This window comes from Homo sapiens, chromosome 8 (genome assembly GCF_000001405.40).
Source record: "Homo sapiens chromosome 8, GRCh38.p14 Primary Assembly".
Classification (NCBI taxonomy): domain Eukaryota; kingdom Metazoa; phylum Chordata; class Mammalia; order Primates; family Hominidae; genus Homo; species Homo sapiens.
Genome location: NC_000008.11, coordinates 109,320,665 through 109,334,161, shown reverse-complemented (window position 1 = coordinate 109,334,161; position 13,497 = coordinate 109,320,665). Strand labels below are relative to the sequence as shown.

At 37.4% G+C, this 13,497-nt stretch overlaps 1 protein-coding gene across 3 annotated transcripts in view, besides 2 other annotated features; it reads left to right on the top strand.

Moving 5' to 3' along the window:
• NUDCD1 (NudC domain containing 1) overlaps positions 75–13,497 on the top strand; it is a 93,169-nt gene continuing 79,746 nt past the window's right edge. Inside the window, exons 1-2 of one of the 3 annotated variants that reach the window (NM_032869.4) lie at positions 75–269; positions 11,699–11,853. In NM_032869.4, the coding sequence (NP_116258.2) occupies positions 152–269; positions 11,699–11,853 (273 nt within the window). In that variant the 5' untranslated portion in view covers positions 75–151. Of the gene's footprint in view, positions 270–4,227; positions 4,358–11,698; positions 11,854–13,497 lie in introns of those variants that run through there. The other 2 variants (NM_001128211.2, XM_047422330.1) reach the window with 2 other exon arrangements.
• Positions 154–203: an enhancer, noted in NCBI's record as "active region_27805". NCBI's record gives its function as "activates an Ori minimal core promoter by ATAC-STARR-seq in GM12878 lymphoblastoid cells {active_cell/tissue: GM12878}" and the evidence as "EXISTENCE:reporter gene assay evidence [ECO:0000049][PMID:35858748]".
• Positions 334–383: an enhancer, noted in NCBI's record as "active region_27804". NCBI's record gives its function as "activates an Ori minimal core promoter by ATAC-STARR-seq in GM12878 lymphoblastoid cells {active_cell/tissue: GM12878}" and the evidence as "EXISTENCE:reporter gene assay evidence [ECO:0000049][PMID:35858748]".

Sequence of the window (13,497 nt, the reverse complement as noted above, 5' to 3'; positions counted from 1 at the left end):
TTCACGGACACTACATTTCCCAGAAGGCAGTTCGCACCGCAGTGTTTTCTGGGATGGGAACCACGCCGCTTCCCAGTCTCTGTGCGAGGCGTGAAGCGCGGACCTTTCAACAAGGGCTTTATTAATTCTCACGCTGCGGCCCTGGAAAGCGATGGAGGTGGCGGCTAATTGCTCCCTACGGGTGAAGAGACCTCTGTTGGATCCCCGCTTCGAGGGTTACAAGCTCTCTCTTGAGCCGCTGCCTTGTTACCAGCTGGAGCTTGACGCAGGTGGGAAGCGGCGGCGCCCTTCGTACTCCGTTCCTTTCCCCTTTCGGCTGCCTCCGGCCTGACCCTTCCCGCAATTTCTTTCTTTCTGACTGGCAAGCGAAGCCACCGTGGCGGCTTGCGTGGACTCACGGAGGCCGCTGCTTCTGGGGAATGATGCCCATCCCAGAACCCGGTGGGAGCCGCCTTCGCGCGCTCTTCGGTAACGGGACCCTGGGCCCCCTCCGTCAGCAGCCCAGCCTCTGAGGTCTGAGGTCTGAGGGCTGGCGTGCGGGTAGTGCCTGGGGCTCTGGCTGCTGTGTGTCCACAGCCTGGCTTCTGTTTCGGGGGACGCTGAGAACATTCCTTCCTCCTGGAGCATCGCTTGTGAACGTGTGCGTTGAGAAACCACACCTCCTTGGAGGACCCCCAGTTCCTGTTTCCTCTGACCGAGAGCCGTTTCTTAGAAGAGAAACTACATTCCAGTCATAGCATTTTTAATTACTCAGTTCCTGGCACATTAAGAACTCTGGTAGAGAACATCTCTAGAAGATAGTGAGGAAAAGTGGATTTACTCCCACACTGCTACTCCTTGCTTTATCTGTAGCTGGTAGAATATCCTTACTCTTGTTTTTACAACTTAACGGCATTTTCGTTATGATAGAGCCCAGAGATCTGCATTTTAAAATTCACACCCCTGCTGATTCTGATGCATGTTTTCAGAGATCACACTTTGAGAAATAGTGATCTACAGTTAATTATAATAACAGACATTAAAGTATAAAATAAGTTTATGCTAATTGATTTATTAAATTCAGAAATATTTACCGAGTACCTGTTTTGTGTTACGTCCTGATAATATCAAAATGAACAAGACACCTTCCGTAACAAAAGAGGACTATTAGCTAGTTAGGAAGAAAATTGTAAACAGATAATTGTAAAACAATATGGGAAGGCAGTGATAGGGATATGTACAAAATACAATGGTAGTACTTGAATATCTTTCCTAAACTAGTCTGGGGATCTGGGAAGGCGTCTTGGAGGAGTTAATATCTAAGTTGAGCTTTGAAGGGTAGGTTAAGAGTTGACTAGGATGAGAGAGGATAAGCTTGATTTTTCTTTTTATTTTTTTCCTTTTCCTCTTTGCCACCGTGTTTCTTCCAGTCACCCCATGTCAGTAGATGGTATCACCATGTTTAGTTAGTGCATTAGAAAGTGAAGCCAAAATTCAGTGTCTCAAAACAAGAAGCAGTTATTATTGCTCACAAGTCTACGGGTCAGCTGAGTGGTTCTTCTAGTCCTAGTTGGGCTCATTGATGCATCCTTGTTCAGTAATGGATCTGCTGGGAAGCTCTGCTCATTTGGCTGGACTTCCTCATATGTTTGGAGGGTGGGGGTAGGGTCTCAGACTATAAGCTTGTTTAAGATTCTTTCACATGGTCTCCTCTTGACTTTTCTCCGTGTGGTCTCTTATCCTTTAGCCGACTAGACTAGCCCAGGTTGGTACCAAGAGACACTTGTGCCAGAGTCATTTGGGGTTTATTTCTTTTAGCCACTGTCTGCTTGGTAGCAAGTCCGGTCAGCTCCACATTTTGATATCTCTAGGCCTCCACCCTAATCCAAATCAGAGTTATCTCTTACCTGAACTCTAGTAGCCTCCTGACTAGCCTTCCTGCCTTCACTTTTGGGCTTCGTCATTGCATTCTCCATAAGACGTACTTATCGGCCTTTTAAATTCTATCTTGATTTGTTGTCTGTTTCCTCCACTAGACTATGAGTTCCTTGAAAACAGTGATGTTTTTCTTTTGTTCACTACCCTATATCTAGTGCTTGGCACATAGGATGTATTCAATAAAATGAGTATATGAAGAAGAGAAGAAATTGTTGAGGTCATTCCATTCATGGGAAAGCATGAGGAAAGGGAAATAATTAGTAGGTTGTATGCTGGACATCCTTGCACTCTTATATTGCTGGAGCAAAACGTCTGGGAAAGTGAGAGGAAATAAATCAGTGAGGGCCTTGTTTGCCTTTTGGATTTCTTGGATTTCCGGTCATTCAGTGTTTCCCTGACATTTTTGTATTGAGCCATTACAATATAAAATAAAACTCAGCTGCTGTAGTTCTGCCAACTTTTCTGTTTACTAGGTGGAGATGTTTCTTAAAAACTATCATTTACTCATCTATCTTTTCATAAACAAAAGGATATTTTAACACCAAAAAAGCAGGAAGCAAAATCTCACAATAAACAATCCATTGAATACTTTAACTTTAGAAAAAATTCACAAAGTTGTCCTTGTTCCGTACTCATTTCATCAGCGTTAATCTTAGATTCTGTGTTTGGGATGTACAGCTGCAGGATATCAGGTGCCATTTGAAGATTTTTTTTTTTTTTTTTTTTTTTGAGTCTGAGTCTTGCTCTATTGCGGAGGCTGGACTGTAGTAGTGTGATCTCGTCTCATTGCAACCTCTGCCTTCCGGGTTCAGGCGATTCTCCTGCCTCAGCCTCCCGAGTAGTTGGGATTACAGGCGCCCGCCACCATGCCCAGCTAATTTTTGTTTGTTTCTTTTTGTTTTTGTTTTGTTTTTTGAGACGGAGTCTCTGTCGTTGAGGCTGGAGTGCAGTGGCGCGATCTCAGCTCACTGCAACTTCCGCCTCCCGGGTTCAAGCAGTTCTCTGCCCCAGCCTCTGGAGTAGCTGGGATTACAAGTGCCCGCCACCAAGCCCAGCTAATTTTTGTATTAGAGACGGAGTTTTACTATCTTGGCCAAGCTGGTCTTGAACTCCTGACCTCGCGATCCACCTGCCTCGGCCTCCCAAAGTGCTGGGATTAACAGGCCTGAGCCACTGCTCCGACCGATTTTTTTTTTTCTTTGAAGTTCCGGGGTACATGTGCAGGATGTGCAGGTTTGGTACATAGGTAAACGTGTGCCATGGTGGTTTGCTGCACCCGTCAACCCATCACCTAGGTATTAAGCCCAGCATGCATTAGCAATTTTTCCTAATGCTCTCCCTCCCCCTACCCCATTCTCTGACAGACCACAGTGTGTGTTGTTCCCCTCCCTGTGTCCATGTGATCTCATTATTCAGCTCCCACTTACAAGTGAGAACATGTGGTGTTTTGTGTTCTGTTCCTTCGTTGGTTTGTTGAGGACAGTGGCTTCCAGCTCCTTCCATGTCCCTTTGAAGGATATGATTGTGTTCCTTTTTATGGCTGCATAGTATTCCATGGCGTATGTGTACCACATTTTAAGTACAAGGGACGTGAACAGATACGGGAGTTGAAAAGCTTACCTCAGACTCTGTGGAGGTTGAGTTTGGAAGATGAGATGACTGCACACAGCAGATAGGAGGCTTTTGCAATAGTTCACATGATGAGTTTTTCATTAGGAATTACTTGAGGATGATGAAAAAGATTATTTTGTTTAAAAACTATCATTTCTAGAGATAGTGAAGCATAATTGAGGCGCTTCTGGTAATTTGATTTCTTTTATTCTAACTGAAGGAGTTCACTTTAGTTCCACAAACCTTTGATGGGCACCTTGGCTACCTGAAACACTGCATTTAAGATGTAAAGATGATGTGGTCTCTGGTGTCAAGAACTTGATGCAATGAGGCTTATTCTCTTGTCTTAAATAATGTTATTAAGTTGTACCAAAATTTCCTTTGCTACATAAGCAGTAAATGTCACTTTGTCTTTTTCTATTCCAAAGAACGAAACAAAAAACTTATTTTTAATCAAATTGTAATTGTCTTTTGATCCGGCAATTTCCTTCCTAGGCATTTATAAATATCCTTTTCCTAGAATCTTCATTTAGTACAAGTCTTTTTATATGTTTTTATATGTTTCCCAGCTATATTTCACCTAGCTAATTCATACTTCATTCTTTCATGTTGGCTTACATGTTACTTCCTCAGGGATTCCTTTCTTGACTAGTCAGAATCTACACTATAGAATCTGTATTATGCGTTGCCATAGTAACCAGTACTTCATAGACTTTATCATACTTCGTAGCATCCAGTATGTTTTCTTTGCTAAGATTATTGATTTTGTATTGAAGGGTCCCATGTCCATCGTTTTCAATGCTTTATCTCCAGGGTTGGAGCATGCCTGGTAAGTAGGACATAAATTTGTCTCACAAATTAAACAGCTTTATGAAGACATAATTGACAATAAACTACAAATTTAAAATGTACAACTTAAGAAGTTGTGATATATGTATACACCCGTGAAATCATCACCACAATCAAGATACTAAACTTAGCTATCATTCCCAAAGTTTCCTTGTACCCTTCTGTAACCATCTCTCTGCTCCTTCTGCATTCTAGGTTGACAGTTTTTTCTTTCAATGCTTTAAAGTTATAGCCTCAGTCTTGCTTATATTGTTTCTGATGAGAAATCTCACATTATCCTATCTTTGTTGCTCTATACATAACATGCCTTTTTTCTTCTGTTTTAAGATTTTTCTCTTTTACATTGGTTTTGAGCAGTTTGATAATATTGTGGCCAGCTGTGGTTTTCTTTATGATTCTTATGTTTGGGGTTTGTTGGGCTATAAACTGCGGACATATAGTTTTTATCAAGATCAATGGCAATATTTTGGCTATTATTTCTTCCAACTTTTTCCCCTCCTTTTCTCCTTTGAAGACTCCAGTTACACATTTTTAGATCACAGAAGTTGGTCTCAGCTCATGAATGCCCGTTTCATTTTTTCTTCATACTTTTTTCTGTTTTATTGCCAATAGTTTCCATTTTCATGCCTTTAGTTCCGTTTACTTTTTTTTTTTGTAATATTAGTCTCTTGTTAATCCCATCTGGTGTATTTTTCATCTTGGACATTGTAATATTCACATCTAGAAGTTTGATTTAAATCTTTTGCATCTTTCTTGCTTCTACTTACTTATGTTGAACATACATGGAGTACATGTAGCAATAATTGTTTTTACATCTTGTTCTGTGAATTGTAGCTTCCATGTCAGTTTTATATTGGCTTCTATTGATTGGTAATTCTCTTCATTATGGATTTTGTTTTCTTTCCTCTTTGCATATGTGGTAATCTTTGATTGGATGCCAGACATTGTGAATTTTACCTTGTTAGGTGCAGGTTATTTTTGTATTTTTATAATGTTCTTGAGTTTTTTTTCCGGGATATAGTTGAGTTACTTGGAAACAGATTAATTCCATTGGTTCTTGCTTTTATGATTTGTTAGTCCGATCAGGAGCAGTGCTCAGTCTAGGGTTATTTCCCACTACCGAGGCAAGACTTTCCTGTGTACACTACCCAGTATCCCACAAATTAAGGGTTTTCTCCATTCTGCTTATTGGGAGCAGTTATGGTTCCTAGCCTTATGTGAGTGCCCAGGATTTCTCTTCAACCCTTTCAGATGGTTCTTTCTGTAGCCTGGGGTAATCTCCTCAAACACATGCCATTAGTACTCTTGAGTACTTGAGGCAGACTCTCAGATCTCTGGGCTTCTCTCTGCATCTCTCTTTTCTCTGCTACTCTGTCTAATGACAGAGTAGTAGCCTAGTTTCTTCAACTCAAGGAGGTTGAAGTCAACTCTGCATACAAGTACTCTGGCCTTTTTCTTTCTTCAGAGAAGGGGGAAGAAAAGCTGGTGAAGATTTACACTACAGTTAAAGGGAGGGAAAAGCCATGTAACCGTTGTATTTATGTAGAGTTGACTATACCTCACTTTCCCTTCTTTGTGCTGTGGTCTGGAAACTCCTCAAGGCAGTAAACTAGATTGGTGGTGGGGCTAATCTCATAAGTGTCCTTTGTTGTTTTATGTCTGATGTCTTGAAAACTGTTGTTTCATTTAACTTTCTCTGGTTTGTTTCATCTTATTGGATGTTTCTGGTGGAAAGATAAATCTGGTTCCTATTCTTCCATGTTGGCTGCAAACAAAAGTTATTCAATGTATATTTTTAAGTGAAAAAATATTTTCTGTAGAATAATAGAGCTAGAAACAATTGAAAAGGGCTAATGAGTATAGTGAGAAAATGGATGTATAAACAGCTTTTTAAAGAAGTTTGAGAAGAACAAGGTAGGGGAGAGCTCTGCTTTAGCGGCCAGGCAGAGAAAAGGAAGCCTTTTTTATTTGTTTATTTTGCGAGTGGGGAAGTTTCAGCATATGTAAGTGGAGGAGAAACACCAGTGGACAGGAGATAACTTCTGGCAGGAGAAAATTGAATCATAAACACCTGTGTGGGAATTAGCCTTGAATGGGAGAAAAGGAACAGGGAAATCAATGCTTAATCTTATGTGCCATGCATTGATAGTAAATACATTGCATATTTCGACTGAAGCTTGTCAATGTTTTGGTACAATTAGTATTACTAACCTTTATTATAGATGAGGAAATGGGCAATAAGATGAGCTAACTTAACCAAGTTATTCATCAGTGGCAAAGCTGACCCTAAAGCTCATGCTTTTCCTAATGATCTTTGTGGTCACTCTGGCCTTTTTCTTTCTTCAGAGCAGAGGGAAGAAAAGCTGGTGAAGATTTACACTACAGTTAGAGTAAAGGGAGGGAAAAGCCACGTAACCATTGTATTTATGTAGAGTTGACTATAAAACTCATCTCTACCCTTATGGAGGAAAAGATGGGGAAAATACCCACATGAATGTGTTGAGGTCAGAGAAGTATTGCATAAAATAATTTTATGGGAGCAGTGCTCTTAACTCTGGTCCTCCCGTGTTCTTTAAGTCTCGCTTTAGAATTTGTGGACTTGTACTTTTACTTTTTTACACCTTCATAGATAAATAGCAAGCTCAGTAACTAGGTGAAAAGAAGGCTTATTGGGTTGATTCTAGAAGCTAAGTGGTCCATGAAGTGACCTTTGTAAGTTAACGTTCTTGGCCTCTCTCTTCCCCCTCTTTAAAGATTATTATACTTTGCTTATGTAAATATTAGACTGCATCATATTTAATTGGTGTCAAAGAGTTAAATATTGGCAATATCATGTGGTTCAAGTAATAGTGTATTTTGAGAAGCCAAGAAACAGTAATGAATATCATCGTTAGCACTATTAGTGCAGGAGACAGGTCTGTTTTATTCACTGTTTGTGCCCAATGCCAACCACAATGTCTGGTACATATAGTAGATATTCAATAAATAATTTATGAATGAAAAACTATAGCCCTTTGAGGTCCCATGAGGCTTTTGTGGTTTTCATGTGTGAAAAACTAGGTTTTGAGGTTCGGTAAGTATTTGGGCAAATGTTAAGGGAGACTCTTCTTTTGAGGCCCTAAGTTCTTTTTAGAAGACTAATCCTTATCAGATTTTTCAGCAAAGCTCTTTTATTTTCAATGCAAGGTATCATTAAATAATAAAATATTTACTACACTGGCTTCTCTGTAAAAAGTTCTTCTTCTTCAACCCTTACAAAGATCTATGCAGAGATTGAAGCCTCGCTGCCCCCTACTTCTTTTTTTGGGAGAACTCTGCAAAAGAGCTCTGCCAGTAGCTAAGAACTGTCACATTCTGGACACTGCTTTTCTACTTTCAGTTGCTCTGCCTCCCACTTTTATAATCAAGATAATTGACATGGTCATCATCATGTGATAACTTTTCCTTTCTCATTTGAGGCCAGAGAGGTGTCCTTTTTCTATGCGTTAATAGAGATTTTACAAAATAGCATGTAATATGGCCTAGACTCACATCTGTGTCTTAATAACTTATATAAATTATTTTGTTGGAATGAAACAATCATGAAGTGTTGTAATAAGACTGATGTCTAAGAAGCCTCCAGTTTGTTCAGGATTGCCCAGAGGTCTTTGCACAGATATGAAGAAAATGTATTTGTTATATCGTTGTCTAATATTACTGCTTCAGGCCCTTATGTTACCATGCAGTTTTCCTGCAGTATCGAGTTTCATCCACACAGTGGTGCTAGAAAACCAAGAATACATATTTCTAACTGTTGCTTATAAAATAAGTGGTGTTATATGTTTCCTCAACCTCTATCAAATCTATCATAATTGGATTTTTACCTGTGAGATGTTTCCATTATCTCTCAACCAGATGATTGCAATAGCTTTCTAATGGATCTTCCTGGATTTACCCTGCTTTATTCCAATTTGTTTTCCATATTGTAGTTATAAGTACTCTTTTATAAACTCAAATCTGAACTTTACTCTCCTGCTTAAAAACTGTTAATGAATTCTTTTAAATTGAATTTGTCAACAAAAATAAATACAGTCCATTCATAATCCAGTTCTTGCTGAGTTTTCATTTATTGCAACCTTTCCTGTACAAGTCCCCTTGTTGCTCTGCATTTCGGCCAGTGTGGCCTTCTTTGAACAGTGTGGCCTTCTTTGTGTTCTTTGAACACAAGTTTTTCTTCCTACTTTTTACAGATTTTCCTTCTGTCTGGAAAAGTAGAGGAGTGGGTATGCATGTATATAGGTGTATTTTTTATTTTAAAAATATGTTAAATTGATAAACTGGGATTTTATGTTATATTTTGATGCATGCATACGGTGTGTAATGATCAAATCAGTATTTAGGGTGTTCATCAACTTCAGTATTTACCATTTCTTTGTGTTGGGAACATTTGAAATCTTCTAGCTATTTTGGTACTCGCTGTTTTGAAATACACAATATATTGTTGTTAACTGTAGTCACCCAACTGTGCTATCAAACATGAGAACTTAATCCTTTTAATTGTATGTTTGTACCCATTAAGCAACCTCCCTTCATCCCCCACCCCCATCTTTCCCAGCCTCTGATAACTATCTTTCTACTCTCTCCCTCCATGAAATCCACTTTTTTAGCTGCGTGTATGATGTCTTTCTGTACCTGGTTTATTTTATTTATTTATTTTTGAGATGAAGTCTCACTCTGTCCCAGGCTGGAGTGCAGTGGAGCGATCTCGGCTCACTGCAACCTCTGCCTCCTGGGTTCAAGCGATTCTCGTGCCTCAGCCTCCCCAGTAGTTGGAATTACAGGCACGCACTGTCACACCCAGCTAATTTGTTTTTTGAATTTTTAGTAGAGACGGGGTTTCATCATGTTGGCCAGGATGGTCTCAATCTCCTGACCTCGTGATCCGCCCGCCTTGGCCTCCCAAAGTGCTGGGATTACAGGCCTGAGCCTCGGCGCCCGGCCTTGTGCCTGGTTTATTTCACTTAATGACCTCCAGTTCCATCTATGTTGCTGCAAATGATAGAATTTCGTTCTTTTTTATGGCTGAATAGTATTTCAGTGTGTGTATATACTACATTTTCTTTATCTGTTCATCCTTTGGCCACTTAGGTTTCCCCCATGTCTTGGCTTTTGTAAATAGTGCTGAAATAATCATGGAAGTGACGGTATTCCTTTTGATATACTGACTTTCTTTTGTTTTGATAAATATTCATTTGTGGGAGTGCCTATTGTGGTATAGTAGTTATAGTTTTAGTTTTTTGAGAAACCTCTTTACTATTTTCCATAATGGCTATACTAATTTACATTCCCACTGACAGATTATATGTTCCCTTTTCTCCACATCCTTGCCAGCATTTGTTATTTTTTTTTTTTGTATTTTTTTGAAAATAGCCATTCTAACTACAGGAAGATGATATCTCATTGTGATTTCAATTTGCATTTCCTCAATAATTAGTGATGTTGAGCATTTTTTCATGTAACTGTTGGCTATTTATTTATATATTCTTTTGAGAAATGTCTATTAAGATCTTTGCCCTCTTTATAATGGGACTTTTTTTTTTTTGCTTCAACAGCAAAAAAAATTTTCATTCCTTACGATTGAATAGTTTGCAAATATTTTCTCCCATTCTATAGGTTGTCTCTTCACTAGGTTGTTTGTTTCTTTTGCTCTGCAGAAGGTATTTTTGTTGTTGTTGTTGTTTAGTTAAATATAATCCCATTTGTCTTTTTGTTTTTCTTGCCTATGCTTTTGAGGTCTTAACCATAAAATCTTTGCATAGACCTATATCCTGAAGCATTTCTTCTCTGTTTCCTTTTTGGTATTTTTATAGTTTTTGAGTTGATTTTTGCATATGATGAGAGATAGGAGTCTAATTTTATTTTTCTGCTATGGATATCCAATTTTCACACCATTTATTGAGGAAGGTATCCTTTTCCCAGTGTATGTTCTTTGCACCTTTGTCAAAAATCAGTTGGCTACATGTACATGGATTTATTTCTGATCCATGAGCATGAGATGTCTATTTGTGTCCTCTTCAATTTCTTTCATTAATGTTTTGTAGTTTTCTTGTAGAAGTCTTTCACCTTCTTGTTAAAATACTTTTTCTTAAGTTAATTCTTTCTTATCTTTTATGTCGTGGCTCAAACCTTGGAAAGCTTTTGTTAATCTCCCCAAATAGAACTCTTACATTATGTGTTCTCATGGTACCCAGTGATTATTCTTTATCACAATTTAATTATATAAAATTTATTTCATAAAAATTATTTAAGATTTATATGATTATTTGACTAATGCCCATTTCCTCACTGTATCATAAGTGCTAATTGGCAAGATTCCATTCTTGGCTCATCACTGTGTCATCGATGCCTATTGAAATTTTATTTATTTATTTTTAAATTTATATTAGTTTCTGTATAAATGAATATAAGTCAGACAGGACTCAAAGCAGGTATTGGAAGTGGGAACAGGTGAGCATTTGGGGGAGGAAGAAAACAGTTGCCATCAGAATACAGTAAAGTGAGTTTTATATTAGGGTAGGATATTGGCCCAGCATAATCCATTTATATGTTTCCTGCTGGGGCAGAAATTAATTCCAGATCATGAGCAGTTCTGAGCCATGAAAGTTTCCATCTTCATGAAAGGGCAGGAGGAGTGGGAGGAAGAGATCACATTTGCTAGATTTAAACCTAGGGAAGCAGCTAATGCTTAAGTGAAGAAATCTCTGTTCTGTAAGTAGGAGATCTTGTTTCTAGTCCAGCTGTGATACTGTTTTGCTCTGTACCCTTGGAAAAGATGTAGTATAACATTGGAGAAGTCATTATTTGTGTATACATTTATTTATATAACTGTATAATGAGATTTTAAAAGTTAATTTCTTAATGTGTATTAAAATGAATGAGATAATAGTATATTAAAACATTTTTAAAGTATATAAACACTTCATAAATTGGGCTTAACATTTTCCTGGAAATGGTAGATTCTTCAATTTTAGAATTTCTGTTATTTTTATTCATAATTATTAGAGGTGCCTAAAAGAGGGTCATGACATAAAAAGCCCTATCTCCTGTGGCCGCTGTATTCTAAGTCTTGTAAGGACGTGGGACCATATCAGTTTTACTTACTGTTTATCCTCTGTACACAGTACCCAGAAATTATCTTTGAAAGAATGATATACTGAATTGTCCTGAAGGCCTTTGTGATTGGCATTCTGTGATTTTTTTTTTTGCCTTGTAGGCATTCTACAGATAGAAACTATCTGAGGCAAAACTCTTGATGTTTATGTTTGCTTTTCTTGTATTTCAGCTGTGGCAGAGGTAAAACTTCGAGATGATCAATATACACTGGAACACATGCATGCTTTTGGAATGTATAATTACCTGCACTGTGATTCATGGTATCAAGACAGTGTCTACTATATTGATACCCTTGGAAGAATTATGAATTTAACAGTAATGCTGGTAAGAGAAACATGTATGTAATAATTAATATATGTATGTAATATCAAGCAAATTTGATAATTAAGTTTCCCTTTTGAATCTAATATCCAGAGAAGTGAGGTGCACATACCTGTAGTATATGGAATCCTATCTACGTAATACTCCATTTCTTATTTCAATTTTAATTTTTCTCTTTGATCCTGTTATTTACACTTACTCACCTCCACTCTCACCATTGGGCAGCAACTCTCATGGATTTTATATATTATTAATACTGATGTAACTGTTCATGTCTGCTTTTCCTATGTGAGGTGTTGTCCCCAACTATAATGATGAATTTGCTTTTGTTTTAGTTTTTACTTTATGTATTTTTAACTATGTTAATTGGTACAAACATTTAGGATTGTTTTATTTATACTGAATTGATTCTTTTAGCATTTTAAAATGTCTCTTTATCTCTAGGTTCTGTGAATATTTTTTGTCTTGAAATCTTCTTTGGTATTAATACAGTTATTTCTGGATTTTTGTAAATTAGTATTTTTCTTCTTATATGCTTTTTCTATTTATCAGTGTTCTTGTTTTTAAAGTATGTGTCATAAAGAGCATATAGTTGGCTCTTGTTTTTTCCATATGACAGTCTTTCTCTTAATTGGAGGGCTTACATTTATACTTAATTTAATCTAGTTCCCAATATTCTTGGGCTAATATTACCATCTTGCTCTTCTCATTATGCCCTGTTTGTTCTTTGTTCCTTGGTGTCTTTGTTCCTACTTTTTTGCAGGAGGAATTAATCACAGTTTTTCTTTTTAAAAAAAATGTCCTTAGAACTCGATTTAATTTCCTCTTTTGGCTTTTTATTTAAACCTGTTTGTATTATTATTTTTTAAATGGTTGATACAGAGGTTATAGTGTTTTCCTTGACTTACCACAGTCTGCCTCTAATTAATATTATTTTACTTTAAAAACAATGTGAAAACTTTACAACAATATAATTCCTTTCACTTACCCTCTCATTGTTTGAGCTAATTTTATCATATGTTTTTCACCTTCATATGCTGGAAACTCCACAATACATTGTTAATATATTTGCTTCAAACAGCCAATAATCTGTTAATAGCTTCCTAAGTACTCTATTCCTTCTAGCCCTCCTGCGCATTGCATCTACAGAGTAGTCTGTCTGATTTGCGTGTTTAATATTATCACTTGCTAAAATTCTTTTAATATTTCCTTCATGGCAAAATCCATGTTTTTAATATGTAATTTAAAAATAGGCAATGTGTTCATGTAATTTAAAAACCAAAAAAGTTATAAAAGGTATTTAGTGAAGCCTCCTTGATCCCATCTTTTATCTATCCTATCTCCAGTATCCATTATTTCCCCTGCAATGTCTTTATTGGTTTTGTGTGTCTTTCCAGATGTGGTAGGTTATTTGTTGTTGTTTTTTGCAAGTATAAACACAAAATGATGTTGCGGGAAGTCAGGGACCCCAAATGGAGGGACCAGCTGAAGCCATGGCAGAAGAACGTAGATTGTGAAGATTTCATGGACATATATTAGCTCCCCAAATTAATACTTTTGTAATTTCTTATGCCTGTCTTTACTGCAATCTCTTAAACATAAATTGTAAAGATTTCATGGACACTTATCACTTCCCCAATCAGTACC